The sequence below is a fragment of the Homo sapiens genome, chromosome 9 (genome assembly GCF_000001405.40).
Source record: "Homo sapiens chromosome 9, GRCh38.p14 Primary Assembly".
Classification (NCBI taxonomy): Eukaryota; Metazoa; Chordata; class Mammalia; order Primates; family Hominidae; genus Homo; species Homo sapiens.
Genome location: NC_000009.12, coordinates 39,983,081 through 40,005,582, shown reverse-complemented (window position 1 = coordinate 40,005,582; position 22,502 = coordinate 39,983,081). Strand labels below are relative to the sequence as shown.

At 34.0% G+C, this 22,502-nt stretch overlaps 1 long non-coding RNA gene and 1 pseudogene across 3 annotated transcripts in view; one reads left to right on the top strand and one right to left on the bottom strand.

The window, feature by feature from the left end:
- Positions 1-1,477: 1,477 nt before the first annotated feature.
- The window catches only part of LOC105376050 (uncharacterized), a 108,520-nt gene continuing 87,495 nt past the window's right edge, over positions 1,478-22,502 (bottom strand). For 2 of the 3 annotated variants that reach the window (XR_929618.4, XR_007061494.1), the window contains exon 4: positions 10,153-11,036. This is a non-coding gene — a long non-coding RNA (uncharacterized LOC105376050). Of the gene's footprint in view, positions 5,752-10,152; positions 11,037-22,502 lie in introns of those variants that run through there. The other variant, XR_929617.4, reaches the window with a different exon arrangement.
- On the top strand, positions 21,182-21,734 carry RPL7AP49 (ribosomal protein L7a pseudogene 49; annotated as a pseudogene).

Here is a 22,502-nt window from a genome sequence, read left to right as displayed (position 1 = left end):
GTCAGTTTCTGCTGAGGGTATTCTTCATGCTTGTCACACAGATACCTTTTGTTGTGTTCCCAAAGGGAAGAGAGATAGAGAAACACACAGAGAGACAGAGACAAAGGAAGTGTACAAGAAAGTGCTCTTCTGTGTCTTTTATAATAAATTCACTAATTCCATCATGAGGACTCCATCCTCATGGTTTCATCTCAACCTTTTGACCTCCAAAGGCCCACATCTCCAAAACCATAATACTGGGGATTAGGGCTTCAAAATTTAAATTTGGGGTGGGAGGGACACAAACATTTAGTCCAAAATATTTGCATTTTAAATTAATGAGAATCCATTCAAACTAAAAAATAGGGTCATTATTATTGATTTTCAAAAAAAGAAATTTGAAAAAAAAGATTTGTCTCTGATTTACTCTTTGAAGAGAGAGTCACATATTGTAGAAAGTGATTGTTAACAACTTCCCCTTAAAAATAGTTTGCCAATTTTAAACCAAAGAAAATCCCAATAATCTATAGTCCCATACCATTAAGTGTACCTAAAAATTGTCATCCTATGAAATGTATACATTATCTTACAATGCATTGTGAAGAATGCCTAGGATTATTAGAATTACTAAATGAGCAAAGTTAATGGATATAAAATAGAATACAAAATCAATTTTCTATAATTAACGGAAATATTTAAGAAATACAATTTCAAAAGTAAACTTCAGTAGCTACTAAAGCAAGATTGTTTATAATAAAAAGACAATGTATCTCATTCTCACTCTATACATCTCATCAAGAATATAAATTTGAAACACAAAGCTTTAAAATTTTAAAAGCAATTTAGCCTGAATCTCAGAGTATGAAAAAAATTTTCAAACCAGCACAAAAACTGACTGGAGCAAGATGATTTGTAAGTTTGGTCCCACTCATATCAAGAGTATCTGTTCCTTCTAAATCACCATTGGTAAAATGAAAAATCATCATAAACAGCATGGCAACATTTGCAAGTACATAACAATCTATTAAAATTCATGATACAATTAATTTATGTTAAGGATTTAGAAAAAGACATAAAAATTAAAATAGGAAAATACCTAAGCAGAGTTTTTAAATAATAAAAAAGTTAAAATATATGAAATGGTACCAAAGCTTATTATTAATTCAAATTAAAACTATAAAACAACAAAATACAATTTCTTTTTTTTTTTTTTTTTTTGAGAGGGAGTCTCACTCTGTCACTCAGGCTGGAGTGCAGTGGCATGATCTCAGCTCATTGCAACATCCACCTCCTGGATTCAAGCTATTCTCCTGCCTCAGCCTCTCAAGTAGCTGGGATTACAGGCACGCACCACCAGGCCCAGCTAATTTTTGTATTTTTAGTAGAGACGGGGTTTCCCCATGTTGGCCAGGCTGGTCTTGAACTCCTCACCTCTGTTGATCCGCCCACCTTGGCCTCCCAAAGTGTTGGGATTACAGGCACGAACCACTGTGCCCAGCCCAAAATATAATTTCATATACATCACATTATAATTTTTTTTTTAGACTGCATTTATTTTTGTGTGAGTTTGGATGTAGGGCAATTCAAACTTTTATATACTACTATTGGCATACAAATTAATGTGATTACATTGTACAACAATTTAACATTATCTAATAATGTTGATCATGTGCCAACCCTGTGACCCAGGAATTCCATTTCCAGAGACATCTTAGCTCTTGCATTTCTGGTGACAAGTACACAATAAGCAAAGTAGCATTGTTAATTTTAAAAAATCACAATAGCATTGAAAATTTCAGAAAACTGAACTAATTAATGTTCACAAGAAGCAGAAAAATAAAGTGTGATCTACTCATTCATTGGAATAGTGACACACATATCAGATTGGCTTATTCCGAGAACAGTACTTAGAGAGAAAAAAAAGCAAATTAAATCAAAGAGAACCAACAGGATGAAAGATTTGCTCTATTAGACATCGAAACTTTATAACATACAGCAATTCAGACACATCTTGTTCTTGAAGATGGATAGTATGCTGGAGTCACCTTGCCTCAGCTTCTGGCTACGAAGTCTCCCCTGAACTCCTCACGAAGATGGGCTTTACAAATACAAACTAACCAATTCCCAAACAAATACTCTATAGGGCTGTCACACTCCAGGCCACTGTGCTTCTGTCCTAATCACGCTAGGGCCAAAAACCAGAGAACCAGGGACAGCTCTTATGCCCCAGAGCCCACTGAAATTATTCAAACGAGCCGGTCCTAAGCTTGTTTACCCTGCTTGGTTTCTTCCTGCAAACACCACAGTCTAGGGTCTTGCTCGTGAATTCCTCCCTCTCTCTGTTTCCTGATGGACCTGAGTTCTTCCCTGTAGTCTCCCCTGGCGTGACATGCTCCCTTCTCTTGGAAATTGTGAGTATCTTTTCAATGGCAATTGTCTTCCGATCTGTTTGCCTTACTATACCTTAGCTTTTCTATTAATATGCTATATATTAAAACAATATTTGATATAGGTGAAAAATTGAGAAAAGATATTCTAAAAGATGGTAAAGCAGAATCACACACAAAGAGTATGTGAAAAAGAATGAGGTAAATACAAATAGAATGACATGGCTAGTGTGTGTGGTTGGTGGGAAAATAAAGAGGGAAATGATGTGTTTTAAGTTTGAGGTTAGAAAATTAGAGTAAAATTGAGAAATACGGTTTTAAGTTCAAACTATTGAATCTATTAAATCTAGAAAAATCAACAATAAAGTATCTATTTAGAGTAATAACTAAATCTGCTTTTCCTTTTTTCAATTAAAATAGAAACAAATATTGTGGCATTATTTTTATTGTTGTAACAGTTTTGGGCTGCTTTTGAGTCTTTGTTTTGGGAAAGTTTTTATTTTTAGGTTATTTTTCTTTTGTGATATTCTAGACAACCTCTTGTATAAATGTTAAAATGTAATTTTACTACGTTTGAGGCATATTTTAATGTGCCCTAGTTATTAACAAATTTATTCAAGATTAAGTACTATATTTTTAACTTCTTAAAAAAATTAATTTCTTTCTATGCAATGATTGACCTTGAAAATACAAAAGTATGTACAGTATGCACATAATATTCATACTGAATCTAATTGTTTAACTGTTGTTTAATTCATTTAATCATTCATTTTTCAAGGGAACCATATTAAATAATTAGGTAAAAATTTATCAGCAGTCACTGTGTTTATTTGGTAATTTTGTATGCAAGATAGCACATTGCAGTCTTGAGGAAAGATATTTCCTTACTAAGATAGCTATTAATTCAAATTCTATATTGTTTTAAACAATAAAAATTCAAAATACGTGTTTTGATAAGAAAGGAATTTGAATTTGCCAATAGTTGCTTTCTCATTTAATTTTTAAAAAAGAAAGAAGTCCCTATCTTCGAATAGACAACTTTATTAAATCTGATGAATTTTTGTAAAGTCTGTTTAAGTTGTTTCTGCTTTGATTGGTTAAACAACTAACTTTTAAAACAATGTTAGAAACTAACATATTATATATATTTCAGGATATCTTATAATATTATTTTTCTATGTAACTGTACTTGTATCTATGTCTATATCTGTATCTGTATCTGTATCTGTATCTATCTATATCTGTATTTAGACAGAGTATCTACAAGAACAAGTAGGTGGGAGTTAGGTCCTAATCCAAGGATTTTCAGTCACTGATAAATACAGTTTTCTCACGGAAGTTTCGTATCTGACTGTCTCTCCACTGGAAATTTCTGTTGCTATTCAAATAGTTCTACAATTTGCCTCCAGAAAATATGTCAATAAGATTAAAAAGTCAACATTTCATAAATTGAAATTGCTATTTTGACCTCCTAAAAATATATAACTTTTATTAAAATGAATTACTATTAAAATACATTCCACATAGGTATGGTAATTGCTTTTATTAGAAAAGTTGAAAGAAGTGAGATAATCTGAGTAATATGGTTTACAACAGATATGTAAAAACAAAGAACACATATCTGTCATCTATATTTATTCAGTTTTATGTGTTATAATTAAATGAATTTGGGTCCTTGCTTCTCTCAATTATGACATAATAAATGATAGAAAATAGACATGTTTTTCCAGAAGTCATTTTATAAACATACTATTGAGTAACATTTAAAAATTAAAAGTAAAAATTAAATATTTATACTTTAATTTGGAGAAAAAAACTGCTATAAGCCTATTATTATAAATGCAAAGTAAGGAGAAGTGTTGAGTCCACTGGTTGCATCAAGAACTTTTTATCAAACTTAGAGGCACATAATCAGAAAAAGATATGTATATTTGTCCTAGAAATTAAGATTAAAATGTACATATCTAATGACATTGAGAGATAAGGAAAGGTAATGATCTATTAAAATAGTTTCCTGAAAGAGTATCAGCTAAAATCTTGACAAATTTGTATGCAGACTGAAATCCTAATCAAAGCATTAGTAAAAAGAAAAAGGTCCTTAAAATTTTCTGAAATTTTTATATGTGAATTATATTTTAAAGAAGCTCCATTTAAAATGCCCTCATGTTCAAAGTAAAAATCTATATTACAAATTGTGTAATATGTATTAATTTTAAATTTTATAAAAAATCAGTGAATTCTTTCAAGTTTTTCAAAGTGTTATGGTTAAGTCTAAATAGGAACTATACTTAAATTACTTTAGATTGTTTAGAATGAAAAATTATTTTTAATTTATCCAATGTTTATTTTATGTGTTCAGCATTCTGATGATTCTTTGAGAAGGAAAATAGTATAAATAGTTGAACATATTTAAAAACATCCACATTGATCACAATTATACATAATTTTTTAAAGTTCTTTTGATTTTTTGCTATGCTTTGTTAATTAATTGATTAATTGTACTGCAATTATAGCCATAATTGGAATAGGAACTGGACTGTATATAGTTTGACAGGTAGAGAAGTAATATTGTAAGATGAGAAGGAAAGGTAACAAATAGTTAAATGTGAGATAACTTGTATAATGGAATTTAAAAATTGTAATTAAATTTAGAAGTAAAATAAATGCTGACATAGATAAATGTGGTAAGAAACATAGAGCAATTTTCAGCAGTATGGACTTATCTTAAAACTGGCAAATGGATACCATCATTTTAAAACATTAATTAGAACTTTGGATCTGCTTTCCCCCATGCCCTATTAGTAGTAAATTCCTTATTGGCTCCCTTTTAGTATGTACATGCCAGTTTAATAATTTCAAAACCCCTGGAGTTTTTTTCATTTCAAACTTATTTTGATTGTTCTAAATGATAAGCAGAGAGAATCAGTCTTTCCTGGTTATTGCTTCCTTTTGTCACATGAGGTCTGTATCCAGAGCCACATATATTTTCTCGAGGTCTTCTTGGGGCACATTTGACCCTATGTCCTCCGCACATGAACAATAAAATTAGTTATCAACTAACATTCATATGACTTACCATGTTTCTCCAAATCATAGCCAGCCCGTGTGCCTGTACTTGAGTCAAGAGCCTCAGCACATCACCGGCTGAAGTTAATTTTAAGTGCAGGGCTTTTCCAAGCTGTGCAGCCTTGTTTGGTATGAAATTTCCACTTAATAAGGTTTTCTTAACTAGACTGTTTGAATACTTTTCCTCAGAGTTCTTGAACTCATTGTGCAAATTTTTCCACTTTTCATCTTCTATTAGGTCAGCGTACAATGCACTCACAAAATCAAAGTTTATTGTCACGTCTTAATTCTAGGATGGAATTCTAGGTGTCTGCCTTCTCTACATTTGCATAAAAAAAGAGGACATTTGGGGAAGACATAAATACAAACAAAAAACAAAACACAAAAGTTAAGTTAAAAATGATAACAATTTGCAAAAGTAGCTTATTTGAAAATAAAACTATAATTATTTAAGGATATTCTAAACCAATTTGCAATGTCAATTTGTTGAAGAAGACCATATTTTTATATATTAAGATTTATAGAAGTTAAAATTTTTATCTGAGCAATTCAATATATTTTTATGATAATAAATTATATAAATTCCAGCAGAAAATCATATTAGATGATTATGGTTTATTTAAGGATTCTAGTAAAATCTTTAACATAGAAAAATACTCATATTGGTATACGTACAGAACATAGTCATCTACCATTCATAGTTCAAGCTGGAGCTATTAAGAATATTAGATTGGATAACTCAATATCAACATTGATATCCATTGTAAATATATACAATAGAAGCCACTAATCTTACCAAAAAGATATAAAATTACTGAAATTTTTTACAAACAAGCTTTCATAATAATATTTATTTTCTGGGCTGTAGCATTAATTCTAAAAAATGACAAAAATTTGTAAGAAAACATATGACATAATTTTGACCTATTGAAATATTATTGAATGTGCTATTAATACAATAGTCATGAAAACCGTTATACAAAAACAAAGTGTTGTTCATGGCATTTACAGAGAACACATTGGTATGACTCCTTCAGGGTATTTATAATAAGTATGAAGCAAGATTTGACTGAGAATACTGAAGAAAACATTCACTTAATTTTTTGAAACAGCTCTGAATAGATGAATAGCATTTATTTAGGTTCTTTATTCTCTTTTGCTTCCTTTCTCCTTTCCTTCTTTTCTGTCATAGATGAGCCAGGCAAGTAACCCAAATGCATGATATGGACTAGGTGTAATAAAACTAAGCAGTGGAGAAATTGTGGTAAAATGAAGCATCTGAACTTTCTTGTGAAGATCAGCTTCTTAAGTCTATTCAGTGTAAACTGCCTCCACCTTATTTGATGTTTATCAAGATAAACCAAAAATACAAGATTGGAGAATTAAATATTGAAATAGTCAACTATGGGAATGTTCTCAATTAAAAAACAAGGAAGCAAGCAAACAAACAAACAAAAAACACATTGTGCTGGCCAACACTGTGAAAGCTAAAGTAACTCTGGAAATGTATTTGGATCAGTTACTGTAAATTTATAATTTTCCTTTAGGAAGTAGACAGTAGGATAAACCATTGAAATGTTTCTTTCTTGTTTTGATGTAGTTCCAATACTTACTAAATATGTGGCTTGGACATGTTAGCTTCTTTATTTTTAAAACAGAACAAAAATAGACATCATATTGATTTGAATACTAAATAGGATAGAAGTAATAAACCATATATGGCAATGCTTAGTACATTAGTAAACACTTGATAAATAAGTGGTAGCTATTATTATTGCTTGCCAAATAACTTTACAGAGGTGTCCAAAAATTCAAAATCCCACATGTCCTCAGAGTTATTTCTGCTTGCCAGGTGTCCCTGCTTAGAAATTAATAGGAAGTACACACCAAAATTTGACATTTAGATGTTTCATTCCACTTATTTGTCTTCTAGTTTAAAAATACTTATGAGAATTCTTTATATTTTTTAAAAAAATGTTAAATGATGAATAACAAAACAAAATAGAAAGCGTTATTTAATGAATTCAAATTCACAAAACCGCTTCTTATCCTAAAATATCTTAGATAGTTCTCATACTGCCCTCCTTAATAAACTCTACTTTCTTGCTCTGCAGATAATCACCTGCCTATGTTTCATTTATTTTTCCTGTGTTTCATGTTGATGATTCCTATGCATTTTTACTTTCTTCTACTATTCAATTATGAATTCTAAAATAAATGTGACATTTTTGCCTGTTTTTAACTCTAAATAGTTTTATAATTTCATTATACCATGACCTAATATTTGATTCAAACTTGAGTGGTTCGTAATATTAATTTGTATTAATTATCAGTGATGTACTATATCCCACTGTATAACAATAGCTTGAATTATATTTTGATTCTCTACTGATAGATATATAGGTCAAATCTAGGGTTTAAAGAAAATCCCAACACTGCTGCTATAAGCACTCTTACATGTTTCACTGTGTATGCATGTGTGAGAATTTTTCCACAATATATACTCAGAGGTACCCTTGCTGGATCAAGAGCAACTGTGCATTTTCACATTTTAGGTACTTCCAAGTTTTCTCCAAAGTGGTTGTACAGTGTATGTTTACCAGCACTGTAAATGTAAATGAAATATATCTTTATTACCCTTGGTATTATCACACATTTTCTTATTTACCAGTCTAATCACTGGTGAGATGGAATCAGGATTGATAAACCTATTCATGATTCCTCTTTTCTTTCTTCAAATTGCCTTATACTTAGGCTACTCTAATACTGGAATACTTTTCCTTATAATATCTTTCTTTATATTATCAACAGTTTTGAATGTTAATACTTTTTGCATTATAAACATCTTATTTTTTCTCCTATTAGCACTTTCCTATTTGTAATTGCATATTTTGAAGAATGGTGTTTTACACTTGTCATCAACTTAATATTTTTATTCAAGTTTAGCTCTTCTTTAATCATGTTTATATCATTTGTTAGCCTAAGCTGATAAATACTCTACTGGATTACCTTCTAGAAGTTTTTAAGCATTTATTTTCTATCTAGTTTTTTCAGATATCAAATAATCCCTCATATATTATACATTTCCCATGAAGTTTTTATTTACACTGGATGAATTTGTAGTTCTTTAACCATGTGAAACATTTCATTATGAAATATTTCAATAAAAATATGATGTATAACTTTTATCAATATGTTTTTGTTCATTCTTGCATATATTAGTTTTTTTGGCTATTAAATTTTCTAAGTGGAAACTTTTTGGTAAGATTTTTCTTTCTGGTTTAACTGGCTATCTGATCGAAAAACAACCAAAATATCTCCAGATGGATTAAAGAATTACACACAAAAATACAACTTTAGTGAAGTAGATCCATATGTTATCAAATAGCTTAAAACTAACTTTTGAAAAAAAAGTCAATGTGACTACTTAAAAATTTTGTTGGGCCGGGCGCGGTCGCTCACGCCTGTAATCCCAGCACTTTGGGAGGCCGAGGCGGGTGGATCATGAGGTCAGGAGATCGAGACCATCCTGGCTAACAAGGTGAAACCCCGTCTCTACTAAATATACAAAAAATTAGCCGGGCGCAGTGGCGGGCGCCTGTAGTCCCAGCTACTCGGGAGGCTGAGGCAGGAGAATGGCGTGAACCTGGGAAGCGGAGCTTGCAGTGAGCCGAGATTGCGCCACTGCAGTCCGCAGTCTGGCCTGGGCGACAGAGCGAGACTCCGTCTCAAAAAAAAAAAAAAAAAAAAAAAAAAAATTTTTGTTCAGATAATTGCAGGGATACCAGTTTGAAATAATCTAACTTAAAATCATACATTTATGTACATAAAAATAAATTTGGTATCAATGAAAACACTAAATCTAGAAAACAATCTAACTTCTGAAATTATTCTAAAATAGTATAAGAATATATTTTATACATGCTTGTAATGTAGGAAGGGCTCTTTAAAAGTGTGACACAATTCATAAAGGAAAAAATGTTTAAAGATAAATACTGATTAATTCACTATTAAGCCAGATTCAGGTAACCCTACTACTAATTTACACAATTACATAGTGAATCTTTGAGGCTTAGATGCTAATATATATGAAGTAACTAAAATAAAAACTAATAAATTCCTTGTAATTGGTTTGCATTTATTTCAGCAGAAATGATATATTACTATTTTATTTATAATTATAAAAGCATGTGTTAATTTTCAGTATGCTATTCTGTAAGTGAAAGTATGTTTGAAAATTGTAATGGTGGAGAAAAATTTAGCTGCACTCTACTTAAAACTAAACATACACACATTACAGATAGAGTCCAATGAGTTTTTAAGAAATTTATTGAGCTATAATTAACATATTAAAAGCCAAAAATATGTAAGATAAATTATTAGATATGCTCTGACATATTTATACATCCGTGAGATCATCATTATTGTCAAGATAGTGAACATATAAATCCACAAAATGTTTCCTCATGACTACTTTTAATAATCCCCTTTTGCAATTATTGTCTCTCCTAATAAGCATCTTAGCTAGACAACTGCTGACCATCTTTCAGTATTGTATATTACTGTATATTGTATATTGGTGCATCCAGAAGTTTTATATAAATGGAATCATATAAGGTGCACTATTTTTTGGCTGGCATTTTTGCTTTACAGCAAAATTCTTTTGAAATTCATTCATGTTGTTGCATGTGTCAGTAGTCGAACCTTTTCATTGCTGAGCAGAATTTTGCTGTACGTATATATCACCAATTACTTGTTAATGAATATGTGGGTCATGACCACATTTTAGCTATTAAAGAGAAAATGCCTATGAATATTTATATACAACAATTTCTTTTTCATTTTTCGAGGGGGAAATATCTAGAAGATAAATGACTAGATTAAGTGGTAAGCATAGGTTTACTTTTTTAAGAAGCTGTCAATCTATCTATTTTACAAAGTGGTTGTCAATCAAAAGTATATTAACGTTTCAGTTCCTCCATTTTGTTGCATATACCTGGTAGGGTCAATATTTTTTTTCACTTTGGACATTGTAATAACTATCAGTAGTATTTCTTTGTGGTTTTCAATTCTTTAATGACTACAGATGTTAAAATTTTTTGATATACTTATTTGTCATCCATGTCTTCTATCATGACGTCTTTTTCAATCTTTTGCCTTTTAAAAAATTGGGTGATTTGTTTTATTTTTGATTTTTGACAGCTTTTATATATTCTTTATGAAAGTAATTTATTAGTGTGTTGGGGCTCCTTATGACCACCCTTAGGCTCAAAGATTAACTATAATGATTCACAGGTCTTAGAAAACACATTACATTCATAGTTACAGTTTACTACAATGAAAAGATACAGATTAAAATCAACAAAGAAAAAAAGCCCATGGGGAGAAATGTAGAAGATATCAGGTACAAGCTTTCAGGTGTCCTCTCCCAGTGGAATCCCATAAGAACACACGTAATTCTCCCAGCAACAATATTTGACAGCATATTGAAGTGTTGTCAATCAGAGAAGCTCATTTAAGTTTTGGTCTCCAGGGCTTTTACTGGGCATCAGTCATGTAAGGTGGTGCCTATATGAGTGATTTCAGCTACTCAGACTACAGCATCTGTCAGAGAAAATATAGCCATTGACTCTAAATTATATTGTTAGGATAAGCTTATCTGTTCAAATGAGCACAGCATGGTCCAAGGCCTCAGACGCTGAAAACCACTTGTGCACTGTACTCTAAAGCCAAAGATGTATAGAAACACTGTCAACAGGCAGAATATATTAAGGGCCCACAGGTTATCTTCCAAAAGCCAGCCAAGTGCCAGTTCTAAAGACAAACATTAGTCCTGATGAGATAAACCTTTCTTGGCCAATAAGATATATGCTATTCAAATGTTTTCTCAGTTCATAGTTTTTAAAAAATTATTTTTAAATGCCCTTTTCCATTCCTATTAAGCATAGTATTGAAAGTTCTAGCCAAGGCAATCAGGCAAGAGAAAGCAATAAAGCGTATTCAAACAGGAAGAGAGGAAGTCAAATTGTCTCTGTTTGCAGATGACAAGATTGTATATTTAGAAAACCCCATCGTCTCAGCTTATCTCCTTAAGCTGATAAGCAACTTCAGCAAAATCTCAGGATTCAAAATCAATGTGCAAAAATAACAAGCATTCCTATACAACAACAACAGACAAACAGAGAGCCAAATCATGAGTGAACTCCTATTCACAATTGCTACAAAGAGAATAAAATACCTAGGAAAACAACTTACAAGGGATGTGAAGGATCTCCTCAAGGAGAACTACAAACCACTGTTCAAGGAAATAGGAGAGGACACAAACAAATGGCAAACTATTCCATGCTCATGGATAGGAAGAATCAATATGAAAATGTCCATACTGCTGAAGTAATTTATAAATTCAATGCTATCCCCATCAAACTACCATTGACTTTCTTCACAGAATTAGAAAAACCTACTTTAAATTTCATACAAAACCAAAAAAGAGGTTGTATAGCCAAGACAATCCTAAGCAAAAAGAACAAAGCTGGAAGTATCATGCGACCTGACTTTAAAATATACTGCAAGGCTACAGTAACCAAAACAGCATGGTACTGGTACCAAAACAGTTATGTAGACCAACAGAACAGAACAGAGGCCTAAGAAATAAAGCCACACATCTACAGCCATCTGATCTTTGACAAACCTGACAAAAACAAGCAATGGGGAAAGGATTCCCTATTTAATAAATGGTATTGGGAAAACTGGGTAGTGGAAAACTGAAACTGGATCCCTTCCTTACATCTTATACAAAAATTCACCCAAGATGGATTGAAGCCTTAAACATAAGACCTAAAACTATAAAAACCTTAGCAGAACACCTAGGCAATACCATTCAGGACATAGGCATGGACAAAAACTTCATGACTACAACATCAAATGCATTGGCAACAAAAGCCAAAATTGATGAATGGGATCTAATTAAATTAAAGAGCTTCTGCACAGCAAAATAAACTATCATCAGAGTGAACAGGCAACCTACAGAATGGGAGAAAATTTTTGCAATCTATCCATCTGACAAAGGGCTAATATCCAGAATCTACAAAGAACTTAAACAAATTTGCAAGAAAAAATACAAACAACCCCATCGAAAAGTGGTCAAAGGATATGAACAGACACTTCTCAAAAGAAGACATTTATGCGGCCAAAAAACATGTGAAAAAAAAGCTCATCATCATTCGTCATTAGGGAAATGCAAATCAAAACCACAATGAGATACCATCTCACTCTGGTTAGAATGGTGATCATTAAAAAGTCAGAAAACAACAGATGCTGGAGAGGATGTGGAGAAATAGGAACACTTTTACACTGTTGGTGAAAGTGTAAATTAGTTCAACCATTGTGGAAGACAGTGTGGTGATTCTTCAAGGATCTAGAACTAGAAATACCGTTTGACCCAGCAATCCCATTACTAAATAGAAAAAGGATTATGAATCATTCTAGTATAAAGACACATGCACACGTAGGTTTATTGCAGCACTGTTCACAATAGCAAAGACTTGGAACCAACACAAATGCCCATCAATCATAGACTGGATAAAGCAAATGTGGCACATATACACTATGGAACACTATGCAGCCATAAAAAAGGATGAGTTCATGTCCTTTGCAGGGACATGGATAAAGCTGGAAACGATCATTCTCAGCAAACTAACACAGGAACAGAAAACCAAACACCGCATGTTCTCACTCATAATTGGGAGCTGAAAAATTAGAACACATGGACACAGGGAAGGGAACATCACACACTGGGGCCTGTCAGGGGGTGGGGGGCTTGGGGAGGGATAGCATTAGGAGAAATACCTAAAATAGATGATGGGTTGAAGGGTGCAGCAAACCACCATGGCATGTATATACCTATGTAACAAACCTACACATTCTGCACATTCTGAACTTAAAGTATAATAATTTTTTAAAAAGAGTAAAAATTTTCACTTTTGAAGAAGTTCAAGTTAATATTTTATTTTACATATTAAATGTTTAATGTCATATACAGCACTTATTTGTTTCAACTAAGGTCACAAAGATTTATCTTATGTTTATATCTAAGATTTCAATACATTCAGGTTGGCTTTTTATTAATGTTTATATATTTTGCAAGCTATGAATCAAATTTGTTTTTCTATTGCTTATAAATACCCAACTGTTTTACATTTCTTGCTTTGAAAACTCTTCCATTTCTTCAAAGCTGATACTTTCCCTGATGAATTGACTTGCTATTTAAAAAAAAAGATTTTAACTATATGTATAAATCTGTTTTTGTATTTTCTATTCTGTTCTGTTGATCTATTTAGTCTTTCTTGAGGACAATATCACACAGTCTTGACTATTTCAAAATCATGAACATGGTATATCTCCCCAAATTTTATCTTTTATTTGAGATATCTGGAAAGCATATAGGTCTAGAAGTTGAAATTTGTTCTACCTATATTAGTTAGTCTTCAAGTAGAAATGATGATGGAAAAGATTGCAGTGATCAAAATTACCTAGGGAGAATGTATAGCATGAAAGAGTAATAAGCAGTTCATGCAGATCTCTGATTTAGCTTACACACCTAGAGGAAGATTAAATGAAGATCAATTTGCAAGTGAATTTAAACTTTTGTGACAAAATTTTAGGAGCAAAATTAGGACACCGTGGTGTTACAGAATCTAAAGAACTATTTTGAGCTGCTTTTGAAAAATAAACATAAAAGTTACCAATCTGTATGACTGACTTTTGCAACACTTTCTCATTGAAAACACATATTCTACAAAAAAACATTATTTTTGTAACCTTATCATTTGGGACTCACTTTATCTAGCAGATCTAAGTACTTATACGTTTTTACGTATGTTCCCATCTATAAATTATCTGTTATATTGTCAATGACATTTTCTTCTTCTAATAAAAGCATGCTCAATTTTAACTATTTGTCTTAACTTATTTTGGAGATTCAAGGTACATTTTGTTGTTGTTTTTATTATTTTATTTTATTTTACTTTAATTTCTGGGATACATATGCAGAATTTGCAGGTTTGTTACATAGGTATACATGTGCCATGGTGGTTTGCTGCCCCTATCAAACCATCATCTAGGTTTTAAGCTGCATGCATTAGATATCAGTCCTGATGCTCTCCCTCCCCTTTCCCCCCACGCCCCAACAGGCCCCACTGTGTGTTGTTCCCCTCCCTGTGTCAATGTGTTCTCGTTGATCAACTCTCACTTATGAGTGAGAACATGAGGTGTTTGGGTTTCTGTTCCTGTGTTAGTTTGATGAGGATGGTGGTTTCCATGTTCCTACAAAGGATATGATCTAGTTCTTTAGATGGCTGCATAGTATTCCATGGTGTATATGTACCACATTTTCTTTATCTAGTCTATCACTGATGGGCATTTGGGTTGGTTCCATGTCTTTGCTATAATAAGTAGTATAGCTGCTGCAATAAACATATGTGTGCATGTGTCTTCATAATAGAATGATTTATATTCCTTTGGGTATATACCAAGTAATGTGACTACTGGGTCATGGGATTTCTGATTCTAGATCCATGAGGAATCTCCACACTGTCTTCCACAATGGTCGAACTAATTTTCATTCCCACCAACAGTGATTCAAGGTATTTTTGATGGTTTCTTTGTTTGTCTATTTTGCCTTTCATTTGTTTTTGTAAAGGGAGAAAATTTTGGGCTTAGGGAATACCATAATGCTTTAAACTTCGAGCTATTTCTTCTTTTTTTTCTCAAATAATGTCATTTTGTCATAGATCTCTGAAAATGACCTTGAAAACTTCCCATAAAAATCAACAGAACTTACGATGTTCAGAGCATAAGAAATAAATGTCACCTTCAAGATTCATCAAAATGAGCTTAGATGAAATTTTAATTGCCATACTCAAGCCACTTAAATAGTTAACCAAGACATTCTCCCTTGTTTCTACAGTGATACATAGTATTGAAAATTGCTTTGACTGCACACTCAAATTATTACAATTCAACTTTCTTCAACATCATAAATTGAAAGGATATCATGTGGATCTTTGTTGTTCCCAATTAGGATTGAAAATAACTTCTGGCCAAATTAGTAGTGTAGAGACTTATGGAATGAAGTCAATTTAAAACAGAATTTTTTTGAGTTAATGGTAAGAAAGAGTTTGTTGCAATAAAATTCTTTGAAATTTTAGATATGAAATTGGTACAAAAACTTAATACAAATTCATCTACCTGATTTTTTGTGGCAATGTCATAAATAAAAGAAATATGGTCTCATCTTTCCTAAATATTTTGCTCATGCTCTTTGACAATACCGTAAAATGTACTTAAACTACATAAGAATCTTCCAGTAAAATAAAATGCAACATTTCACTCAGAAGTAAAACATTTTTAAAATAGTGTCCAACAATTGCTTCAAGAGGGTGACAACTTATGAACACCCTGCTCTAAGTGTTTCCACCCTAATTGGTTTCTTTCTTTTTTTTTTTTTTTTTTGAGACAAAACCTTGCTCTGTTACCCAAGCTGGAGTGCAGTGGTGTGACCTCGGCTCACTGCAACCTCCGCCTCCTGGGTCCAGCGGATTCTCCTGCCTCAGCCAACCAAGTAGCTGGGATTAGAAGCAACTGCCACAATGCCCAGTTAATTTTTGTGTTTTTTGTTTGTTTGTTTGTTTGCTTTAGTAGAAGTGGGTTTCACCATGTTGGCCAGGCTGGTCTCGAACTCCTGATTTCAAGTGATTGGACTCCCAAAGTGCTGGAATTACAGGCATAAGCCACCATGCCTGGCCTCCCCTAATTTGCTTCTTTAAACCTCTCTACATCATCACAAGATGGGTGTTACTATGATCACTATTTTACAGGTGAGCATATGCGGAACAGAGAGGTTAAGGAGGAACAGGGTGATCTGCTACAACTCTTCAGCAGGGCATTCTGGGCAGGACTGTCTAACTTGTGAGAGGCAAGGGGACTATTTATAGCCTATGTATTCCCGTTAAAGTAACAAACATATATCAAGAATAAATATTACAGTATATTTCTAGCAACCATCTAGAAATAGGAAATAGTATCAGTACCATATTGTCAGATGACAGTAGGATTAAATAAAACCGGAGTAACTAAGTAACTGACCCTTTATTCCCTGCATTTAAAAGAAAAGTATGTCTTGGAGTTGAATTAAGTAACCTGGGATAGATCTCTAAAAATCTGTAAGTGAAACAGGGGTCACATATTAACATGTTATACTAGAAACAGTGTCTAAGAGAGGAATTTGGCACTGGAATCTACATAGGGAACAATTAAATTATCCATAAATGTTTTTTACTTTATCTTGAAAAAGGTATAGTACCAAAAACTCCACAAACACTGCTAGACCCTCCATAATACGTGTGGGCTCTAAGATAAGAGTGGAAATAGAGGCCCACATAACATGTGTATAAATATTTTAACATTATAAAGCAAACTACTCCAATAATCTGGCCTGCATTTCCACCTAGGTTCTCAATGGCCCACTTCCTGACCACCACCCTCTGGAGTCCAAAGGAGATTTGCTTATTCCCAATGTTATTCCTGCAGGTCAGCCAAAGAGGAGCAAAGAGTCATCCACCTCAATCATGTTCAGGAAATGATCAGGTCAAGATGTGGAGTGAGCCAGCTTTTCTCTTTCGTGCCACATTTTCTGACCCAGCATTTCAAGGTACTTCTAATACACAAAGACTATTACAAGAGGGAGGAAAGAAGGAAGGTCAGTTATCTGAAGAACTGAGGCTAGCTAGAAGCCCAAATTTGGTGTGATGGGGGCCATCAAATCTCAACAGAAACAGCTTTCTCTCTCTGTTATCCTGGACAGGGCTTGTGATTTTTTTTTTTCCTCCACTCAGCCATAGACTCTCAGCTACATATCCTCTAGCCTGGAGTAGTCAAATCAGCTCATCTCTTTCTCTCTCATACCAAACTTTCAAAAACAAAACAAAACAAACCAAAAAACACTTTGTTATTGGAATAAATGAGAAAAATGTATTTGTGTTTAAATATCTGTGATACATGGACCATCAAAAGCCTCGCTGCTAATGAAGGCAATTATTTAGGTTTACTTAATCTATTAACTTATCAGTTAATAACTGCTATTTATTCTGCTAGAAATTCCCAATGGTATAATTGTTTCTGGCTGTAGCTCCTTCCATGCTTTGTACATCTTACTTGTGGTAGGCAGAATCACAGCTCTCCACAAATGATGTGATTTGGCTGTATCCCCACCCAAATCTCACCTTGAATTGTAATAATTCCATGTGAAGAATGGGGTCAGGTAGAGAGAATTTAATCATGGGGAAGGTTTATCCCATGCTGTTCTTGTGGTAGTAAATAAGTTTCACGAGATCTGCTGGGTTTATAAACGGGAGTTCTCCTGCACAAGCTCTCTTGCCTGCCACCACGTGGGATGCAACATTGCTTCTCATTCGCTTTCCACCATGATTTTGAGGGCTCACCAGCCATGTGGAACTATAAGTCAGTTAAACCTCTTTCTTTTATAAATTACCCAGTCTCAGCTGTGTCTTTATTAGCAGTGTGAGGACAAACTAATACAACGGGTGTCCACATTCTAGTCCCCAGAATTTGTGAATATGTTAGTTGCATGGCAAAGGAAAATTGAAATTGTAGACTAAACTAAGGTTGTTCGTCAGTTGATATTAAGATAGGAAAGTTATTCTGGATTATCCTGATGGGACCAAAATAATCAGAAGGACATTTACAAGTGGAAGGAGGCAGAAGAAGTTAGAGTGATGAGATGGGAACTCACAAACTGCCATTGCTGGCCCTTTAAAACAATTTAAATCTTGTTTTATGACACATAATTATTGTACATATTTATGGGATACAGTGTGATGTTTCAACACGTGTATGTATAGTTTAAATATTGAATCAGGATATTCAACATATTCTTCACTTCATACATCTTTGATATCTTTACGGTGAGAGAATTCAAAAATCCTCTCTTCTAGCTATTTTGAAATATACAATACAATATTGCTAACCATAGTCACCCTGACTCCATTCCTCATTTTAAAAATGGAGGAAGGGACAGTGATCAAAGGAGCAAGCAGCCTCTGGGCTGTGGAAAACCAAAGGAAACAAACTCTTCCCACAGACCCCCCCCCAAGAAAAAACCAACCCTGGCAGTATCTTGGTTTTACCATGGTGTGATCAAGTCAGATTTCTGTCTTACAGAACTGTAACATAATAAATCTGTATTGTTTAAGCTACTAAGTTTGAAGTAATTTTACTAAAACTTGAAAGGAATTTACATTTTGCTTTTAAAGTTCTTATTTTTGAAACTTTAGACAGAGATCAACAAATCCTCAACAAGAGATAGCTCAATTTTTACCTTTGCAAAAGGAATTATGTTACATATCTATGAGAATGAATAACTACAGCACAGAAAAATACTCATAAGTAATATATTATTTGAAATCAGGAGTCTAATAAGAGAAAATGCAAATGTACCCTTTTCTATAAGATTTAGATAAATTACATGAAAAAATATGTGTGATAAGAGGTATGTGTTCTGAGTTAATACATATAAAATCTGAAAAAATTGCAACAGGAACAATAAATATGGAAATTGAAATCACAAAAAAATCAATGAATTTGAAGACCATTTGGAGAAATGCTTATATCATCCTAAGATTAATTTATTCTAACCATGCACCAGTGATAGTATTATAAGAAGAAATAAATTCATTATCATTTTTTACTGTATTTATTTTTTAAGACAGAGATTGGTACTAATTCAGTAATGGAAAACTAATTGTAAAATTTGTACTGTGGTAAATTTGGAAAACAAGGCATGGCACAGAAAGAGTATATAATAAAATCATTTGGCATAAAGGCCATTTGAAATGGATTAATTATAGTGATGAAACATGTCATCATTTCCTGGACAAGTAGGGAAGATAGGCAATGAGAAGGCTATGGAGGAGAGAGAAGAGAGTAGAGTCCATAGAGTGACAGTCTTCAACAGGTTAAAAACCTGTACGAGTTCAGGTCTTGAACAAGCGATATTGGATGAAATGGGAGGTAGAGAGGACCAAAGAGTAGGATTTTTTTTTTTTTTTAATATTGAGAAACATTTGCTGTCTAAAATAGAGAAGAAATGTTATTAACATGCATGGTGGTCAAGAAACTGACAGGTAAGATTTGAAAGAGTTACCAGTTTGAGGTAAGCACAATAGAGAATAACGACAGAGTTTATAATGGAGAGAATGTCTTTGAAAGCCAAAAGCAAAAGTTGTCTTAATAGAGAAAGAAACCAAACAAAGGTTTGAAAAAGCATTTGAATGGAAAGTTTGGTGTAGACGTACGTTATGAACCATAAACTGTCAAAGTTTATTGGTGATGCTTGCTGGTTTATTTACTTGTTGGTTTTCAGAAGGAAAGAACTATAATAGACTGATAACTACAAATTAACTGAAATTGTATATACCCCGCCTCCTCATGATTAGGCAGGTGAAGATGGGGTGAGCAAAATAGTAGCAACCCATTGAAAGGGCTGTTGAAGGGGTTATATTTTCCAGACATATCAGGAGTTCAAGTTGTTATTAAAAATGCAAAAAGAGTTTGCTAATCAGAACATAAGCATTCAATATCTATCACTATCAAGTTGTGAGATAAGGGATAGGTAATTGATTCTGTTGGAAAAGCAGAGTCATACAATGATGACAGTCTGATAATACCTCTGTGACTTGAAAGTGACAGAAGTAAACAGGAACATGAAGCAAAGAGTTTTAGTTCTGATAGTCTCTTTGAGGAGGAGGAATAATGGCACTATTGTCATTTTTTGAATATTTCCCCTAGTATTTTTAGGGATTTCACAAATCGTTCTAATGCCTTAAAGGACTACCACTCTGGAACATCGCTCAAAGCAATGTTCTTGTGAGGATTAGGCTTAATGAAAAGTCCTGTAATGCTTGGACACATGGAAAGCTGACCAGTATTAGATAAAACAAAATTGTTATAGTTGGGAATTATTACTATACATATTTTCATCATCATTTTGCAACATTTATAATTTTTTCTTAATGAAATATGTTGATTTTTCAGTGTTTTTAAAGTAAAATTGTATTACATTTAAAAAATTAATAGAGAACTATTCTGTTGAAGACAATGAATGCATATTATGCTTAACATGTTAATATGTGTTTCACATTATTTATAGATTTTGTCTACTGCATTGAAATTTGCTAGAATGCTGCATATGTAGAGCTTAATGTAATCACTTCCTAACTATAATCTCTGGAGCCAACCCAGTTACAATAAAATTAACTCTAATTTTGTGTCTTTTATTTGTTTCTACTTCTAGGTTAAATGTGGTTTGAGAAAAGTGTTTTAGAAAACTTTGAAAAATCACTGGCTTGTTAGAATGCATGTTCTATTAAAAGATATGAGTCCTATCTCCAGGTTACTTAAAATATTAGTTTTACTCCAAATTGTATTCTAGTTTCCCTATCTTTAAAATATGTTCATGAAACATTTCTCTTCTCTTATGAAGTTAAATGTTCTTTTAAGTTTGAAATTTATTAGAGAACTCTGATATATGATTTTTAAAAAATAACACTCTGAATTACTTTCTAAAATGGAAAGCAACCCTAAAACAAAAAGATATTACCAATATTCAGTTTTACCTCTGGCTTCAACTTATTTTTCTCTCAAGATCTTATTATTCTGTTCTCCAGCTACCCAAGGTGCGAAAAAGAAAGAAGGCCAAAGGGAAGAAGGTGGTGCTGACCCTTGCGGTCTTGAAAAAGCAGGAGACCATGAAAGTGGTGAATCTTCCATTTGAGAAATTTGGCACTGGACAGGACATTTTGGCATTGGACAGAACATCCAGCCCAAAAGGGACCTCACTTGCTTTGTCAAATGGCCCCATTATACTAGGTTGCAGCAGCAGAGAGCCATCCTCTATAAGCAGCTAGAAGTGCCTTCTGTGATTAGTCAGTTCACCAGGGCCTTGGACCACCAAACAGCTGCTCAATGGGGTAAGCTGGCTGGCAAGTACAGACCAGAGACAAAGCAAGAGAAGCAGCAGAGACTGTTGGCCTGGGCTGAGAAGAAAGCAAAGGAGACATCCCCACTGAGAGATCACCTGTCCTTTTAATGGGGGTTAACGCTGTCACCACCTTAGCGGAGAAAAAGAAGGATCAGCTGGTGATGACTACACAGGACAGAGATCCCATTGAGTTGGTTGTCTTCCTGCCTGCCCTGTGTTGTAAACTGGGGGTTCCTTACTGCATTATCTAATGGAAGGCAAGCTTGAGACATCTAGGATTAAAAAACAAACAAACAAACAACAACTCTTAAAAATATTCTTTTAAGGTCTCTGGTTTTCCTAGGCAGAGGACCCTGCGGCCTTCCGCAGTGTTTGTGTCCCTGATTACTTGAGATTAGGGATTGGTGATGACTCTTAACGAGCATGCTGCCTTCAAGCATCTGTTTAACAAAGCACATCTTGCACCGCCCTTAATCCATTTAACCCTGAGTGGACACAGCACATGTTTCAGAGAGCACAGGGTTGGGGGTAAGGTCACAGATCAACAGGATCCCAAGGCAGAGGAATTTTTCTTAGTGCAGAACAAAATGAAAAGTCTCCCATGTCTACTTCTTTCTACACAGACACGGCAACCATCCGATTTCTCAATCTTTTCCCCACCTTTCCCGCCTTTCTATTCCACAAAGCCGCCATTGTCATCCTGGCCCGTTCTCAATGAGCTGTTGGGCACACCTCCCAGACCGGGTGGTGGCCGGGCAGAGGGGCTCCTCACTTCCCAGTAGGGGCGGCCGGGCAGAGGCGCCCCTCACCTCCCGGACGGGGCGGCTGGCCGGGCGGGGGTGCTGACCCCCCCCACCTCCCTCCCGGACGGGGCGGCTGGCCGGGCGGGGGGCTGACACCCCCACCTCCCTCCCGGACGGGGCGGCTGGCCGGGCAGAGGGGCTCCTCACTTCCCAGTAGGGGCGGCCGGGCAGAGGCGCTTGTTTATCTGCTGACCTTCCCTCCACTATTGTCCC